This window comes from Homo sapiens, chromosome 6 (assembly GCF_000001405.40).
Source record: "Homo sapiens chromosome 6, GRCh38.p14 Primary Assembly".
Taxonomy (NCBI): domain Eukaryota; kingdom Metazoa; phylum Chordata; class Mammalia; order Primates; family Hominidae; genus Homo; species Homo sapiens.
Window position 1 is genome coordinate 112,284,271 of NC_000006.12, and position 18,301 is coordinate 112,302,571.

The following is an 18,301-nucleotide window of genomic DNA, read 5'->3' on the forward strand; positions in this document are numbered from 1 at the left end:
CTAGCCTGCTGCCACGGGACTCTCTCCCCTAAATATAAGCCCTAAATAAAACCCCATGTCTCATTTGCTGTCTGAGTCTCTTCTTCAGCCTCTTGAACCTGGTGCCATCTCTATTGAGGTTAATAGGTGTTCAGCCTGACACCCAGCATTTGCACTCCTGGCATTTATCCCGGAGAAATGAAAATGTAGGTTGGCAAAAAAATAGTACATGAATGCTCATAGCAGCTAAACTGTAATAACCAAAAATTGGAAATAACACAAATGTCCTTTAATGGGTAAATGGTTAAACAAACTGGTGTGTCTATATCATGGAATACTCTTCAGCAATAAGATGAACAAATGATTGGCACATGCAACAACTTGGAGGGATTTCATGGGCATTATGCTTAGTGAAAAAACCAATCTCAAAAGTTTGCATACTATATGATTCTATTTATATAACATTCTTGAAATGACAAAATGATAGAAATAGAGAACAGATTAGTGGTTACCAGGAGACAGTGAAGAAGGTGGTGTGAGTACAAAGGGGTAGGCCCTGCTCATTGCTTTATGGCAATAGAACCATTCTGTATCCTGATTGTGATGGTGGTTACAGGAATCCATACAGGGGATTCAATTTTGCAAAAGACTATACTTACTCACACTTACTTGTTCATACCCCCACACATAATGCCCCCTCTCCCCAACTGAGTGGCAGGTAAAAACTGCTGAAAACTGAATGAAGCCTGTAGTCTAGTTAGCATTATTGTGCAAATGTCAACTTCCTGGTTTTGATATTGTACTACAGTAATGGAAAATGGTAGCTTGGAAGCTTGGGTAAGAGTTCACTGGACTCTGTGAACTCTTTTTCTGACTTCCTATGTGTCTACAGTTATTTTAAAATAAAAAAATGATAGTTGCATGTTTTTATTTACTGGCTGTATTTTAAAAAATGTCACGCATATATACATACTTTAATTCCATGGCTAGACTGTAGATTTTAGTATAGTGGCAACGTCTCATTGTGCTCATTCAAGTAAATTTAGCTCAATTCAGTTAAACTCAGTTCATCTCAATAAATATTTGAGGGCCTACTAGACACAAAAGGAATGATGTTAGTCCTCTTACCCTTAATCTTATATTGTCCATCCAGACTATGTACACTGATAGGTACACAATAAGACCTCAAAAAATGGCATCTAGTGATTGGACAATTGCCTTATTAATTTTTATGGTGCTGTGTGATACATCCCTTATTCGTATAAAGGCTGCATTTCTTTTACTTTGTTTTCTTTCTCTGAAAAGACCAAAATTTATGTAAGGAAAATACATTTTCCAAATTAATTTCTTATACCTCATTACCAGGATTGATGAAAACATTAATATACTCCACAAATTTATTTCAGGTTTTAAGCTGTAAGCATGTTTTAGTATATTATTTTACATCAAAAGACATGTGGTGCCTTGAAACCAGGACAAAACAGCTAGACTACCAAATAATATTCTTGGTCTTTTTTTTTTGAGATGGAGTCTTGCTCTGTCGCCCAGGCTGGTGTGCAGTGGCATGATCTCGGCTCACTGCAACCTCCACCTCCCGGGTTCAAACAATTCTCCTGTCTCAGCCTCCTAAGTAGCTGGGACTACAGTATTCTTGGTCTTTTTTATTTTTATTTTTAACAATCACCAAGCTTAAATTTGTGGGGAGGAGTGCAGTTTCCTTAATGTTTTCTACTTGGTTCAACATTCCCAGACAGCAATTACAAGGCAAATATCATTTCAGTAAATGAGAAATTCTTGTTTTCATGTACTGATTGGCTTTATGACACACTAAGGTTAATTGGGAAGCTTCTCAGGCTTATCTGAGTGATAACAAACAGCTGCAATAGATTGCACTCCCTTATCCCCCACATCATTTTGACAGAGCAACACCAAAACAAAACCTCATGAAATGTGTCATTAAACCGCACCGCAAACCTGGTTGCAATTGTGTCTGAGATAGCATCACAGGAAGCCAGAAGGAAACCAATAGCCTGAGAGAAAATGTTTAAATTAGCAAGGGTAGCCAGCCACCCTAGACCACAGCAGCTATAGGATTTGGTTACTGGAGTTCCAATATATGGCAATCTAGATAGTTCTTTATCTCACATGAATACATAGTGCTACTCCAAGCAAAAATATACTTGTCTAATGCAAATGCCCTAAATGCCAGATTTTTATATCTCTAATATAAGAATCACATTGCTGATTTCACTAGTAAAGTAAAAATGGATATCTTTGACTGCTTTGAAGAGCTTATAAAGGGCTTTACTTGCCATAATTTTTAAGTAACAACAGCTAATCTGTTTGAGCACTTATTAGAGCCCAAGCACTGGACTGTTTCTCATGTATCATCTCAGTTAATCCTCCCTGTAATCCTAGGATAGAATTATTATGCATGCATTACAAATGATGCCTAGCACACATACGAATCTTGTTCAAGGTCACAGAGTCAGTAGGTGTTAGAGCCTGGACTTGAGTCCAGGTACATCTTTTCCCAAAGACTCACTCTTATACTAATGAGTAGGTTAACAGAGAATGTTTTACAGGGAACTCATTGAGAGAAAGTTGCCTGGTAGAGTAGTTTTTAGGTCAGCAGATGTTTTTCCAGTTCAGTTGCCAGTTGGCCAGGTCACCAAGTGGATAACCAGTAGTCTCTCTGGTTATCTATGTGCATATTTGGGATGAGATTTCTTCCACTGTGTGGTATGATGCTGCTGCAGTGTTTTTAGGGAGTGTGTGGGTCAAAGCAACTTGCTCAATGATGGAAAAAAAGAGTTAGCCTGTAATGCTTTAGTTGGAAGATGGATATGTGCCATTGGTGTCCCTTTACTGGCTTCTGCTCATCCAGAGGCTCCTCTTTCTTGCTCCTACCTCTTTGTCCTCTTCCACACAGTCTGGTCCAATCATGCTCTTCATTTGGGCCTTGAAGGGGCATATCAACTAGTTGTTCATCCTGCTGTTTGTTTTTCAAATAGCCCCATTTGTGTCTCTTACCTTTCTGGTGTACAAAGCAGGGAAGTGGAGCAATAGCTTAGGACTGCCGATTTGGAGTCAGACAGACTTAGGTTCAAATCCCAGTATAGGCACTTGCTGACACTTACACATGAATTTTGGTCAAGCCATTTAATTTCCCTGAGCCTCCGTTTCCTCATCTGTAAAATTAAACAATGACACAATCTTATTGGGTTGTTGTGAGACTTAAATGAGATAATTTATGTAAAGCTGAATTCTTGGTATTGGAAGGGCTCAAATGTTAGTTATAATATGTTAGTTATAAATAATTGTCATCAATAGTTCAACCTCACTTATTTTTAATCCATTATTACCGTTCTTTCCATAATTTGGAATTTCTTTTTGCTTTGCTAATCTTTGAACTGCCTTAGCCTCAACATACTACAGTCACCCTTCTGTATACATGGGGGATTGGTTCCAGGATACATTCCCCATCCCTCTTCTTGGCTAATACTGTACTTTTGTTAGTGTTTGGTTGGGAAAAATCCCAGTAGAAGTGAACTCTCATAGTTCAAACCCGTGTTGTTCAGTGGTCAACTGTATTTAGTACCATGAAGGCTTTCAAAACTTACATTGATCTATATTCCAGTTGTCAAGCATGTAATAATCTTCACTTTCTTAATTTTTCTTTCCCTGATATGCTATTTAGCACCTGTGTAAACCTATGCAGCTGTGCTCAGCTATGTATAAATGTTTGCTTATGTGCTTCTGTTATGTTTATTTATGTGATGCTGTGGAGAGCCAGTTGCTCTATTAAATTATAAGCTCCTCAGAGGCCAAGGACCACACTTTCTGTTTCTGCTCCAAGTCCGGATGTCCTTCCAAGGACGGATTTTAGGAAGGCTGAAACTCAAACATACAGAACAGCTTTAATAAGATGTTAATGACAAATTTTCAAACATTGTGTTCTTTTCTAGGGTATCATCTCTTAAAGTAATTTCAGTCATAGCTTATAGAATTGTTCAACTTGGGGGCCTTTAGTGGGTGACTTTTTACATTTAAAAATTAATAAGTCTACAATTTGAGAAACAAATGAATAATAAAGAATAAAAAGGATTTAGTAACTGTTACTCTCCAGAAAATTTCAGGCCATATTTCCTTTGATCGGCTAAGTGATTGATACATTAGATTAAGAAAAGATCAAGTCATGCATAATGGAAATAATAATAGCTACACTTTTAGAACACTTAGTAGATACTAGGTACCTTGCCAGGAGCTTGGTTTGTCTTATTCAATCTTCCTGCCACTATTGTGAGGTAGGTACCATGTTTCTTTCTGTTTTGCTTATAAGGAAACTGAAATTAAAAATGGTGTGACTCATGTCTGTAATCCCAGTACTTTGGGAGGCCCAAGGATCACTTGAGCCCAGGAGTTCCAGGCTGCAATGAACTATGATTATAGCACTGCACTCCAGCCTTGGTGGAAAAAGAAAAAAGAAAGGCTACCCTTTGTCCAGGATGCAGCTGAAAAGTGATGGAGCCAGGCCCAGCACCCAAAACCCATGCTAATCACTAAACTTTGTTGCCTGCCACAAAAGAGAAGGAGTTTCATAGATGCATTACAAAGATAATTATAATATTCTTTTTCTTCTTCTACAACACCATTCCCTCACCCCTCCACCCTAAGGAAAGGAAATTCTATTAGTATATAAAATTTGATTAATGTAGACAAATACACTGCAGAAGTTTTGGATAGTTTGCAAGAACAATTTAAAAAAAATTATCTCACTGGCTGTTTGCCTTCATATGCTCCTCTTCTCCAAAGGCCCAGCTCTTGCTCACTGCCTAACAGTGGAGTCCTCAGGGAGTGTTGTCTCTGTCAGAGTGAAGCCATTAGGGACAATGTCTCATTGCCTTTCAAGAGGACAGACAGGAAATATATTTTGCTTCCCTCTCTCTTACCCAATCCTCTATCTTTTCCCTTCTCAGCTATATTCTTTTGGCATAAATAAAGGCTAACTTCTCCCAGGAGTTCAGTAACTTGAGCCCTCCCCAAGCACTGTCTGAGAAAGCTGGCTCTAAACACACACACACACCACAGGCAGCTGCTTGGGGGCCCTGTTCTTTGGCAACATCACAACTCCCGCCTGCTTTTTCTGGATTTCAGGACCCAGCAATTACAAAGCCGGCCTCTGGGCCTGCACGTAGAGCATGCTTTAATAGTAAAAGCATCTAGTGGGTCTCTTCCAACTTCGAGCATTCTGGGAGTCTCTCAGCCTTGAATCTTACAGGGTCCAAGAACCTCTCAGTGGAGTCAGGATTATGCTGTAGCCAATCTGTAGCAGAATTCTTACATTTGTTCTGTTTTACAGCAAGGGTACCAAGAGAGCTTCCAAGTCACTGCAACATGCTGTGCATATAATGTGAAGGAGGAGCGCAGAGGTGGCTGTACCTGGGGGCTGATGATGCCTGGGCTTCGGGCTGCATAAGTGCCTGGATTCTGGCAGGCAGCGGCCCTGTTGCATTCATAATTCATCATTCTGTCTTCAGTTTCTTAAACATGGCCTCCCCAGTTGTATAATCTTTAAGCCACTTCGAACATTAACCTGCCCCTGGTTGAGTGTCTTTTTGAGCAGTAGTTCAATCTACGCCATGTTTGACTAACATGTTCCTATTGCAAGACATTGAAGCCATTGAAGATTAAATATAAGAAAGCTAGTGCAAATAATATGGAAAGTTAGTTTTTTTGTCTTTTCATGTATGATCATTTTTCTTATATTTACCATTTTCTTGTAAGCATTTTTTTCATATTAGCTCCTTGAATCCTCACAACAACCCTAAGCAGTAAAATCTATAATTACCTCATTTTTGAGATGGGAATACGAAGTTAAATAACTCACACTAGGGCTCTAGCCAGTAAGTGACAAAGGCTGGATTTGAACTCTGGCAGTGCAGAGCATATCCTGTTAGCCACAATGTACAATGCTGGTGTTGACTGACAGCTTGTGTTTCGCCTCCATCTCTCTTGATGTCTTTGTTCTTTGTACTCAGTCAATAAACTTCTTTTTTTTTTTTTTTTGAGATGGAGTCTCACTCCATCGCCGAGGCTGGAGTGCAGTGGCGTGATCTCGGCTCACTGCAACCTCCACCTCCCCGGTTCAAGTGATTCTTGTGCCTCAGCCTCTCGAATAGCTGGAATGACAGGCATGCACCACCATGCCTGGCTAATTTTTGTATTTTTGGTAGAGATGGGGTTTCACCATGTTGGCCAGGCTGGTCTCAAACTCCTGTCAGTCAATGAACTTCTTTTTGCCTTACTCTCCCCATTAGAAAATGTTATCTCTCTGCTTCTCGGAAAAGAGAATGGATTAACATAATACAGGAGATAGTGTTTAATATAGGAGACAGCAATAAAAAAATCTGGAAAATGTATTTCAACTGAAATCCAGAGAAGGTAGTGGCTTGCCACTTGGCAATGGAACTGGAATTAGACTCAAGTCTCTACCTCTCACTACTCACCATGGAGGCTCTTGTACAGAACATACTTCCGTCGTAATAAAGTATGGACTGGTATAGTAGAGTAAGTGAGGAGTGTAGAGAAGAATTTCTATTTGTGTTCAGTTAAGGTTTGATTTAAACCAGTGTTCGTACCTTAATTTGAAAAAGTAAATGTAATTTAAATATTTCTTTTTTCTTGTAAATAAATGTATATTTGTTCGCATCAAAACAAATTTCAAGTTGCACTGCAAAAGGGAAGAGTAAACTTCTGTAACTCACATCATTGTTTTTTTAAAGAGCCATTTAATAAATAGTCTATATTTCAGTTCAGTATTATTTATGTTTTCAATATGTCCTTCTATAAAGTGTATGAATCAGTTGTTGTTAGTTCAGACAAGATTAAAACCTTTACTCCCACATGAAGAATGAAATGTCAATTTTTCTTTTGATATTTAGATGTTGCTTACAGAATTATAGTGGCTAACTGGAGTTCCATCCATAGTCAAGGTCATTTCATTTTTGAAACCCTCAGGAAACACATTGTATTATTGTTCTTGAACCACTTGAACATTATAGGTTGACTGACTTCAAAAACTGTATCATGGGTAAAAAGCATAAAGTTGTATTCTTATGCTTTTTTTTTCAAGTAATCCTAGATTTTAAAATGATAGCTTCAATTTTGTATGACAAAAGCTTCCCCAAACACTAAACCTTTTAAATAAATGACATTCTTTATTATTTTCTCTTTTATTCCCTACGGGTAATTGTGAAATCTCACAGTATCTTCTGTTAGCTCTGCTTTTGCCTAACCCACACTAAGAATTTCCTTTTTTTTTTTTTTCTCATTGCACAATTATTCCTCCCTAAGCTTTTGGGCTACAAAGGTAACTTGAAAGTCAAGAGACACAACTGTCCTGGTCAGATTTCTGTCAGCCTTCTGAGCCTTCTCACCTCCAACCCTTTGGCTTCTCAGTCTCCTTGATCCTAATGAGGAAAGAAAGAAAGGAAATAATATCTCTTTTCTACCATAACTTCTGCTCAAGATGCCACACTATGCTTCTGGTTTCTTTTCACCTTCACATTCTTAGAAGGAGGGGTGACATTTGTTACCTTAGTGTCCTCATCTCTTTTGGTCCTTTGGAAATTTTTTTATTTTTTATGACAGCAGCACCCCATTCTCACAACTCTCTGCTATGTTTACTTTCTAGACACTACTCATATCTGGTTGTCTTCTTAGCTCTTGAACTACTTTTTTTCCTCCCTGTATCCTTTGCTAGTACCTCTTTCCCTGCCCAAATCTTAAATGTTATCTGAATTTCCAACCTATTTGTTGTTCTTTTCATCAGCTTTGCAAGTCCCCCTGAGTGATGTCACCCAATCTCTTGGCTTGAGCGCCACCATTTTCTCTACAATTCCTGCCTCCAGCTTGATCTTCTCATCTAGGCACCAGACACAGACTTCCAAATAAGTGTGGAACTGCTTTAGCTGGAAGACCTGAAGCACCTCAAACTCAGCACAGCCAGAGCTAAAACCATTATCTTCTTTCTAAAGCCTGTCTTTTGATTTGTGCTTTTTATGGACATTGGTAAATGTTCTCACTGTTGACAGGTCTATTGCATCTTAAAACATCAGAGTCCTTCAAGTCTTCCTTCTACCTCACTCTAATATTTAATCATTTCAGGGATTCTTTTCCCAAATCTTAAGAAAACTTCAGACACACCGAAATTGAGGGATGTTCTACAAAATATCTGACACTCCTAAAGAGTGTCAAAGCCAGTAAAAACAAGAAAGATTGAGTAACTTTCACAGATTGAAGATGACTAAGGAGGCACGATGAATACAAGCAAGGTCATACCCTGGACCAGATCCCTTGAAAGTAAAGGACATTAGTGGTCAAATGTGAACGAAATCTGTAGTTCGTTAATGGTAATGTGCCAATGTTAATTTCAGTTTTTTACAAATGTTCTGTGGGTCTAGCAGATATAAAGATTAGGGAAAGCTGGGTGAAAGGCATAAGGAAACTCTATGCTATCTTAGCTACATTTCTACAAATCAACAATTTTTCTAAAACAACAACTAAAAAGCAAAACAAAAAGCATGGCTTCCCACTGTTTATGCGGTGTTTCTCAACTTATTTTGAAAAACTCATCTGGATTTTTTTTTTTTTTAATATATGTGGCTGGGCCCCACCTGGGATATTTAGATTCAGCAGGACTGTGGTGGAGCCAAGGAAGCTGCATAATTGTCAGGTGCCACAGGATATTTTTAAATACTCCAGGTATTGCAAAATTACTTGTCTACAGGACAAACAGAGCTTGCCTATGACATTTCCTTGATATAGACTTCTAAATTTTTTTTATAGAGAGCATTGCTCAGATATCATAGACAGCCAGAATTATCTTTTGTAATAAAGAATATACTACTGGCTGGGCACTGTGGCTCACACCTGAAATCCCAGCACTCTAGGAGACCGAGGCAGGTGGATCACTTGAATTCAGGAGTTCAAGACCGGCCTGGCCAACATGCTAAAACCCTGTCTCTACTAAAAATACAAAAATGAGCTGGAGGTGGTGGTGCATGCCTGTAACCCCAGCTACACGGGAGGCTGAGGCAGGAGAATGGCTTGAACCTGGAAGGCAGAGGCTGCAGTGAGATCATGTCACTGTACTCCAGCCTGGGCAACAGAGCAAGACTCCATCTCAAAAAAAAAAAAAAAAACAGGAATATACTACTTAATAAGACTGAAGTGATCCTGAGTGTAAGGAATAAAACTGATATGTTGAATAGTTTTTCACTTAAAGAATTGCATGAAACCCATATATTTTATTTTTAAATATAGTATATTGTAAGTTTGCCACTTGATTTCAATGACTCTAAAGGCTTATTAAATATTTATGAGTGAGGGAATTATTTCCACAGCATTTTGCATTCCTTTTGCTTTGAAGTGAAAATTTGCACATGATACATTTCCAGCAGGATTTTCATATGGTCAGCGTATACTTGCAAGCTTCTTGGGAAATGGAAACACTGCAAGGTTATTTCAATAAACAGGAAAAAAAAATGCCCAACTTGGAAAAATGTTACAGAGATCTTTAAAAAACATACGAGTAATGAAAGAGTGAAATTAGAGAGGTCATGTGTGTATGTATATGTCTCTGTGAGTGTATGTGTGCATGAAGCCTCTCACTGGGCTGCATGAGATTTATGAGGAGATGTCAGGAGTTCCTTGGACTCTCTGAAATTGAAGGAAAATACATGTATGTACATATTGTTGAGGATTCTCAATAAGGACAGTGAGCAAAAAAGCAGTCAGAAACACTGACCATGGGGAATCTTTTGAGAAGCAATGGCATAATTTTAGGTGGCCTAAATTATTGTTTTAAATCAAATAAGTAAAAGGTAGAGGCATTGTGATATGATCTTGTAATAAGACCTATTGCTAATGTACAGCTTATTTACTTTTCCCAATAGAGGATTGAGAAAAGTCTTAGAATGCAATGAACATTTCCTGAAATGATCCAAACTGAAGCCTTGGTATAAGAATAGGTTATTAAAATAGTTTGTCAAATGTTTATTAAGACCTTACTATGTACCGAGCGAAGTTCTAGAGCTTTAGTTCACATTAGTGAACAAAACAGACAAATATCGATCTCTAATCAATTTTACATTCAGTTAGGGAAGATAGACCTTAAAGAATAAACAAAATAAGTAAATTGCATAGTATGTTAGAGTGTGATATAAATGCTATGGAAAAAAATAAAAAAAAAAAGAGCAGGGTAAGATGGGTTGGACCAGCCACTTGGGGGTATGGAGAAGTTGCATATTAAATAGGGTGAAAGGATGGACCCATCTGAATAGGTAAGATTTGAGCAAAGATTCCAAGGAGGTAAGAGATTTAGCTCAGTGGATCCTGAAGTGGGGATAGGGGTGGGGTGGTGGGACATTCCAAGTAGAGGGAAAGAGCAATGGTGACATTTGGGGAGCTGTGAGGAGGCCTCACTGTGAGGAATGAAGTGATCAGTAAGCTAGGAGAAGAGTAGGAAAAGAAGCCAGAGGAGTAACTGAGGCAGTGAGGGCTTTGCAGCCACTGTAGGACTTGGGCTTTCTCTCTGTATGTGATGGGAACCAGCACAGATGTTTTTTGTTTGTTTTATAGATCCACAAGTATAAACTTCAATATACTTTGGTCAGAAATGGATAAATCAAGTCAACACAAAATATGTAAATCCAGAGGGAATTTGATAAAATTAACATAACAACCAGCTCTAAAAGTAGACAATGTGGCTGGGTGGCTCATGCCTATAATTCCAGAACTCTGGGAGGCCAAGGTGAAAAGATCACTTGAGGCCAGGAGTTTGAGACCAGCCTAGACAACATAGTGAGACCTCCTGTTTCTATAAAAAAAAAGAAAAGAAAAAATAGCTGGGCATGGTGGTATATGCCTTAGTTCCAGCTTCTTGGGAGGCTGAGGTAAGAAGTTCGCTTAAGCCTAGAAGTTTGAGGCTGCAGTGAGCTATGATTGTACTACTAGCACTCCGGCCTGAGCTACAAAGTGAGACCCCTGTCTCTTAAAAAAAAAAAAAAAAGTTGAGAATGCATTTGCTTTCAAACACACAGGGGCAGTTTATAAACATTGTCCATGTATCAGACCTCAAATAAAGTCTCACCATGTTCAAGAAGAGACCATGCACAACATATTATCTTACAACAGTGCAACAAAAGTAGACGTTAACAAGATTTGAATAGTTTTTTTCTTAAATATAAATATTTAAAGATTTAAAAGCACGCTTTCACATATCTCTTGGTTTAACAGGCATATCAAACCCGAAATTACAAACTATGGAAAAATTAACAACAGAAAATACAGTGCAGTTCGAAAGTAGCCTGGCCAACATGGTGAAATCCCATCTCTACTAAAAGTACAAAAATTAGCTGGGCATGGTGGCAAGTGCCTGTAATTCCTGCTACTTGGGAGGCTGAGGCAGGAGAATCACTTGAACCTGGGAGGCAGAGGTTGCAGTGAGCTAAGGTAGCACCATTACACTCCAGTCTGGGTGACGAGAGCAAAACTCTCTTTCTCTCAAATAATAATAATCATAATAATAATAATAATAAAATAAAAACAAAAACATTGCACAGTGAAACCCATATGATATAATTAATATGCTGCCCAGAAGTAGTAAATTGAATTCAAAACCTCTCAGGATATCTTACATTGAAATTTCAGTATTATTTGCGAAGCAGTGACCGGCAAAACTGGGATGAGAACATGCAAGTCAACTCTAATGTAGCTGAAGAAATTGAACTTTTGAATTCAGCTTACGTTACCAGTAGAAGTGGCTTTTCTTCTTTAACAGAGAAAGCATCTCCCCTGGCTTGAAGAATCTGCACTAGCCTCCCTTGAGGAAAGAATTGTCTTGCTAGGGAATTTGTAGGACCGTAGGTTTTTGTTACTGTTGTTGTTTTAAAAGAGAGAGTCTCGCTCTGTCACCCAGGCTAGAGTACTGTGGCATGATGACAGCAGAGGATAACAACTTGTTTCAAATGAATCACTGGCTGTTGTGTTGCAGAGGACACTAGGGGGCAACAGTGTGGATGCCAGGAGACTAGGAGGCTATTATAGTAACCCAGATGAGAGAGGACAGCAACTGGGACAGTCCTGGGAGCAGTAGGGGTGGTGGAAAGTAGTCACTCTTGATATATTCTGTATGTAAAGCCAGCATGATCTCCTGATTTGTTGTGAGGGGATGTGGGGAGAGAAGAAGAGTCAAGGATAACTCCAAGGTCTTACCCCACAGAGATGGAGAAGATTGCAGGCAGGAGCAGCTTTGGAAGGAAGATTACGAGCTCAGTTTCAAATGTTAAGTCTGAGAAGTTAAGCTCCAAGTGGAGATATGGAGGAGACAACTGGCTATGTGGGCCTAGAAATTTGGAGAGAGATCTGCCTTGGAGATATAAATTTAGGAGTCATCAGCATGTAAATGATGTGTAAGGGTCATAGGACTAGAGATCACCAAGGGAGAGAGGGTAGCTGGCAAAGAGAAGAGGCCAAGGACTGGGTCTTGGGGCTCTTTCTAACACTAAGTCATCAGGGGGAAGCAGAAGAACCAATCAAGGAGACTGAAAAGAAGCAGCCTGGTAGGAAGAAGGAAAGCCAAGAATGTGTTGTCCTGGAAACCACACAGAGTAACTGTATTAAGGAAGAGTGAAAGACAGACTTTGGCACATACTGACCTGACAGATCAAGTAAGATAATCAATGAGCACTGACCAATGGATTCAGTAATATGGCTATTACTGATGACTTTGTCAAGAACAGTTCAGTTGAGTGGTAAGGGCAAAAGCCTGATTGAGTGGATTCAAGACAGAATTTGAGGAAAGAAACTAGACAGCCAGGTGATTTGCTGCCAAGGGGAGCAAAGGAATGGGGCAGGAGCTGGTAGGAAGGTGAGGCCAAACGAGTGTGTGTAGTTTTTTTTTTTCTATTTAAGGTAAGACAAAAAATAGCGTGTTTGAGTCCTGGTAGAATGACCCAACAGACAGTGTAAAATGAATGGTGTTGGAGATAGAGAGGAGAACTGGCAGATTGATATTCTCCATTAGGCAAAAGGGATGGGATCTATTACATAAAGGGTGGGTGGGGCTCACAGAAAAACGGAAATTTCATCTATGGAAGAGACGGGAACATGGAGAATGTAGGTAGATACTTTGGTAGAAGCCTGCGGATATTTTCCTCTAACTGCTTCTATTTTCTCAGTGAAGGGAGAATTAAGGTGAGCAGCTAAAAGCAAGGGTAGTCCAAAAATTCTATGAAGATATAAATATGTCAGAAACTTATTACTGTGGTGCTCCTTCTATTAAACTGTTTATTTGCCAGAGTGTCACTTGAGTAGAATTAATGAAAGTGTATTAGTCCATTTCACACAGCTATAAAGAAATATCTGAGACTGGGTAATTTAGAAAGAAAAGAGGTTTAATTGACTCACAGTTCCGCATGGCTAGGGAGGCCTCAGGTCACTTACAATAATGGCAGAAGGCGAAGGAGAAGCAAGTACCTTCTTCACAAGGTGGCAGGAAAGAGAGAGTGTGCAAGGGAAACTTCCACTTATGAACCATCAGATCTCATGAGAAATCACTCACCATCACAAGAACAGCATGGGAAAAACCACCCCCATTATCCAACCACCTCCCAGTGGGTCCCTCCCTGGACACCTGAGGATTACAGTTCCAGACGAGATTTGGTGGGGACACAGAGCCAAACCATATCAGAAGGCAGAAGAAGTACCATAATAATGTGATACAAAGAACATCTGCCCTGTGGTACTCCTGTCTAGCTGTTTGATATATAACTAAATGCTACTCTTCCCGAACTCAGCATACAGGGAGGGAAATTTCAGGGCCTCCATCCCTGGGAGAATATTCTGAAAGAAGGGTAACCCTTAGCAACTGCACAAACTGCTCCCAGATGACTCACCAGAGAGCTTCTGGGTGGAAATCCAGTGGAAATAATGCAAACACATTCATCTTGACCCCAGAGGTCTAACTCCACCCAAGGCTTAAGTTTCTTTCCTCTGTTGTACCCTGTGAGTTTCCTGGAGCAAATATTCATGCTTAGCTCCCATGTCTCTTCCCATTTAGCTGTCAGTTCCACTTAGGTATGCAAAGGCACTCAGTTCTCACTGCTTTTAAAATTTCATGATTTTCCCCTGGCGTTCTCCTGAGATTCCTCCCAGTATTGCACCTTCATGCTCGCCTTCATAGGCGAGCAGCATTAACGCCTGGGCTTCCTGAGCATCAGCAGCAGCTTTCAAACAGAGAAGCACATTAGGAAAGCGAATTCACTCAGTCATTTAACTGTTCATTCTTCTATTTAGAACTTAAGAATGTACAAGTCACCTCAGACATTAAGGCCTTCTTGAGAAACGAGGGGAATATTTAAAAGCAGTTTTAAAAAAGAAAACATTAGCTCTGCAATTTTTATCTGTGTCTTGGATAGTTAACCTACAGAGAAAATTAATTTCTTACCACATTATATTTCTCTCTCTCTCTCTCTCTCTCTCTCTGTGTGTGTGTGTGCGTGTGTGTGTGTGTAAATCTGGGAAGATCCCATGAACTTTTACTTACTCTGGTAGAACAGGCAGTTTAAGTCACAAGAAGTCTCAAATTTCTAAATGTCTAGTCCAAGGTATGAATCAGCACACCATTTCCATTCTAGGAGAAGTCCCTTCTCCTCTCCCTCCCAGCCGCAGATCTGTTATGGAAGGGCAGGCTTCTGCTCTCTGCCCCACTCCTTCAGGCTGGCTGATTCCTCAGGGTGGAAGGTGGAAGGGAAGGTATGGGGAAGTGGAGGTGGTTGTGATGTGTGAAAGTATTGCCTCCTGAGAGCCACTTAAATATCAGGAATGTTATAAGCTGGTTGTTAAACTGCTGGTAGCTTGAGATTAGTCATGGTGGGTGTATCTACACCACAGAGACTAGCAAATATTTCAGATCAAGGCTTCCCCATCCCTGCCCTTGGAGAGCTGTTTTATTAACACATCACTGGCTTAGGGAATAGGAAATTCTTCCGGGGTTTAGGTGGCTTTGAGTGCTATAGTCTTGGCAGACAGTTCACCTGAGTCTTTCCCTACGTGTGAGTTCTTTGGAGACCACTATCATCAGGTACCTCTCTCCAGCCCCTGGGATACTATGGGCTGTTCATGTTGTCCTTGGGCAGGCTGCTTCCAATTCTCAGTCAGCTTCTGCTTGTAGAAGATGACCAGCCCCACACATTTCCTGCTGTTGGGACCCCTTTGGGCTCTGGGCAGGATTCACTTTGATACTATCCCAGAGCAACATTCCTTTTATATTAGTTTTCTATTGCTGTATAAAAAGTGACTACAATCTCAGTGGATTAAAACAACACATATATATTTTTTAATCTCAGTTTCTGTGGGTCATGAGTCTGGGCCTGGCTTAAGCAGGCTCCTCTACTCAAGTCCTCACAATGCTGCAATCAAGATGTCTGATGGGCTGCATCCTCTCTGGAGCTTGGGGTCCTCTTCCAAGTGCTTGTGGTTCTTGTTGGAATTCAGTTCTGGGCAGTTGTAGGACTGAGGTCCTTGTTTTCTTGCTGGTTGTCAGCTGGGGTCTTCTCTCAGCTCCTGGAGGCCACTTGCAGTTCTTTGCTCTCTTAGCTTCCTCTCTTAGGTCCTTTGATCAGATGTCTTGCAAAGACAGAAAGATAATCTAACTGGTTTACCTATATGGATGTAATGTAATGATGGGAGTGACTATCCTATCACCTTTGCCTAACCAAGGTAGAGACATCCCGTTCCTTTTCCACACCATGTAACATAATCAAGGGAGTGACATCCAACTACCTTTGTCATATGCTATTGACCAGAAGCAAGATACAGGCTCTGCCTACATTAAACAGGAGGGGATTGTACAGAAGAATCATGACTCATTGGAGGTCATCTTTGGGTATGCCCACCATACCTACTACATCTGGTCCTTGAATTTCACAGACCTGTGATCATCTGTCAGAGGGGAGCCAGTTTCTTCCCACAGAGCCTCAACTTTCTGCCTGTTCTGCCATGAAAGCCGCCTGCTGACCTCTCTCTCTCCTTCTGGATTTCCAGAAGTGCAGCACATGTCTATTGTGTTCCCGCTGCAGGGTCCTGTGGATCCCTCTGATGGTCACTTTGGAGCCTACTGTTTTTAGACTTGAGGCAAAGCAAGTTGAAACTGACATAGCATTCCTGTCCTTGAGGTGAAAAGGGGGCTAGTAGTCACAGCACCAATTTCTCCAAAGAATGCTCCTGAAATTTTCTTTCCTCTTCGTATTCTGAGTTCTTTGTGTAAATTTGATCTTGTCAATGGGCTCAAAAGTCAGTAGAATCTCCAACTTTCACATAGGAAATCAATAGAGTACAGTGTAAACTTTATAAACAATGAATAGCAGCATGTGTAGAATGTTTAAAAATGTGAAGGTGAATATTAGAAAAAATAGTTAAAAGAATAAAAACTGGTGCCATTGGAAAGCAGGGCAGGATAAGGGTGGGGCAGATATAGTGCTATTTTTCTTTATATTCCTTTTAGCATTACTTAATTTTTTCAGATATCTTCCTGTATTGTTTGGATTTTTTAAAATATATGCCCAAAGAGGCACTGTTTTCATCTAGTCTTTGTACTTGTATATCCTACTGCAGGACTAGACATAAGAATTTTTATACTTCAGTTTACTCATCTGCTAAATAAGCACAGTAATGCTTTAAAAATTAAGAGATGAAAACTCTTGATAAAATATTTTGAAACCTCTAAGGAAATATGCTTTAAAATATCAGTTGTGATGAGCCAATTTGCTATCACCAAGTCTTCTAAACATTGAATCAAATAGTCTTTGTCTAAGTTATTTCTGTGCCAAAGTTACCATTCAGTCTCAGCTGAAAATGTATTTACTAAACACAGCTACAACTATGGCTTGTATTTATTATAGCTTAATGGTGAATTGTGGATTGCATGTTTGACATTTTTGGAAGTCAATGCTCACTTTATTGAAATATCTTCTGTCTAAAATGTATACCAATGTTCTTCATCATACCAATCTACATTAATATCTTAGACATATTGATATACAGACATGTTGGGCACATAGACCATGTGGAACAGGAAACCAAAGAAAATGTCAGACTGTTGAAATCAGCATTCAGAGATGAGAAACAATTGGCCAGTGTGGCATGGGGCAGCCTGTTTCAGAGATTACAAGGATTAGACCAAAGTCACAAACAAGGATAGTCCCTGGCATCAGCAGCTAGAATTGTCAGTCAATATCCAGGCACGAGGGGCTGCTACTCAAGGGAGTCTTTTCTGAGCTGCACTTTTCAACACTTGAAAGGCAAATTAGAGAGTAGCAGCTCTTCCTATTAAACTTAATTATGGATAGCAAATTGATCCATGCCATTTTAGAAATGCTCACCTCTTCAGTTATATTTGGCAGAAAATAGGAGGTTCCAACAAGTTCGATGTGAGTGAAGTTTAGTTCTTCTCTCACCACCTTAACATCATGTGCTGATGAAATAGAGTCTCACAATTCCGAGTCACAATTCTGAGTGGAGACATTTGTTACCATTGATTACAAAGTGAGGCCAGGCCGGTTCATGCCACCTATTGTTTTTTTCTTTAAATAAATCTTATTGTGTATATTTGAGGTTTATCACATGATGTTATGGGATACAAATAGATAGTAAAATGGTTACTGTAGTGAAGCAAATCAAAACATATTCCTCTCACATTACTACTTTCTTGTGACAAAAGCAGCTAAAAATCTACCAAACAGAATTCCCTAATATAATTTTATTAACTGTAGTCCTCACATTGTACATGGAATCACTAGACTTGCCCATCCTACATATCTTCTACCTTACATGCCACCTACTGTAAGTCTCAGGAGTTCCTAGGTCTTTTCTTTAGGTGATTCATCCACTTGTTACATGGAAGGTTGATTTACTTGAGGCAGACACACTGATTTCCCAAAAGCAGAATCGTTTTATCCTGAGAGTTGACATCAGAGAAACAGAAGTTTTATGACCTTTCAACAGGATTCAGGTCACAAGGGCACAGGCCACAGGCCTTATCAGGTTCTTATTCTAGTGTGAGGAGTATCTTGAAACCATTTCCTTGGCTCATCTGTATATCTAGCATGTCATTAATTCATCATTGAGAGCCTATTTCTGATATTCTTTATGATAATTTCCTAAGCCTCCGTGCAAGAAGACTTGTGCTAGCCTCTGGAGTGCAGACTTCCCAACTAACTGCTGACTAGCTAACTAAGCAACCCGAGGGCAGAAATTT

The 18,301-nt window shown here is 39.7% G+C and overlaps 2 long non-coding RNA genes across 4 annotated transcripts in view; one reads left to right on the forward strand and one right to left on the reverse strand.

Annotated features, from left to right (window-relative positions):
- LAMA4-AS1 (LAMA4 antisense RNA 1) overlaps window positions 1-18,301 on the forward strand; it is a 70,088-nt gene that overhangs the window by 47,675 nt on the left and 4,112 nt on the right. The window lies entirely within an intron of this gene.
- On the reverse strand, window positions 254-14,830 carry LOC107986632 (uncharacterized). Of its 3 annotated transcripts, XR_001744298.2 has the most exons (3): window positions 14,591-14,830; window positions 4,759-4,845; window positions 254-3,170 (listed from the first exon to the last, which is right to left on the reverse strand). It is a non-coding gene; the product is annotated as an uncharacterized LOC107986632 (long non-coding RNA). The 3 variants fall into 3 exon arrangements; XR_007059712.1 differs by lacking the exon at window positions 4,759-4,845; XR_007059711.1 differs by lacking the exon at window positions 14,591-14,830 and having other exon boundaries at window positions 4,759-5,046.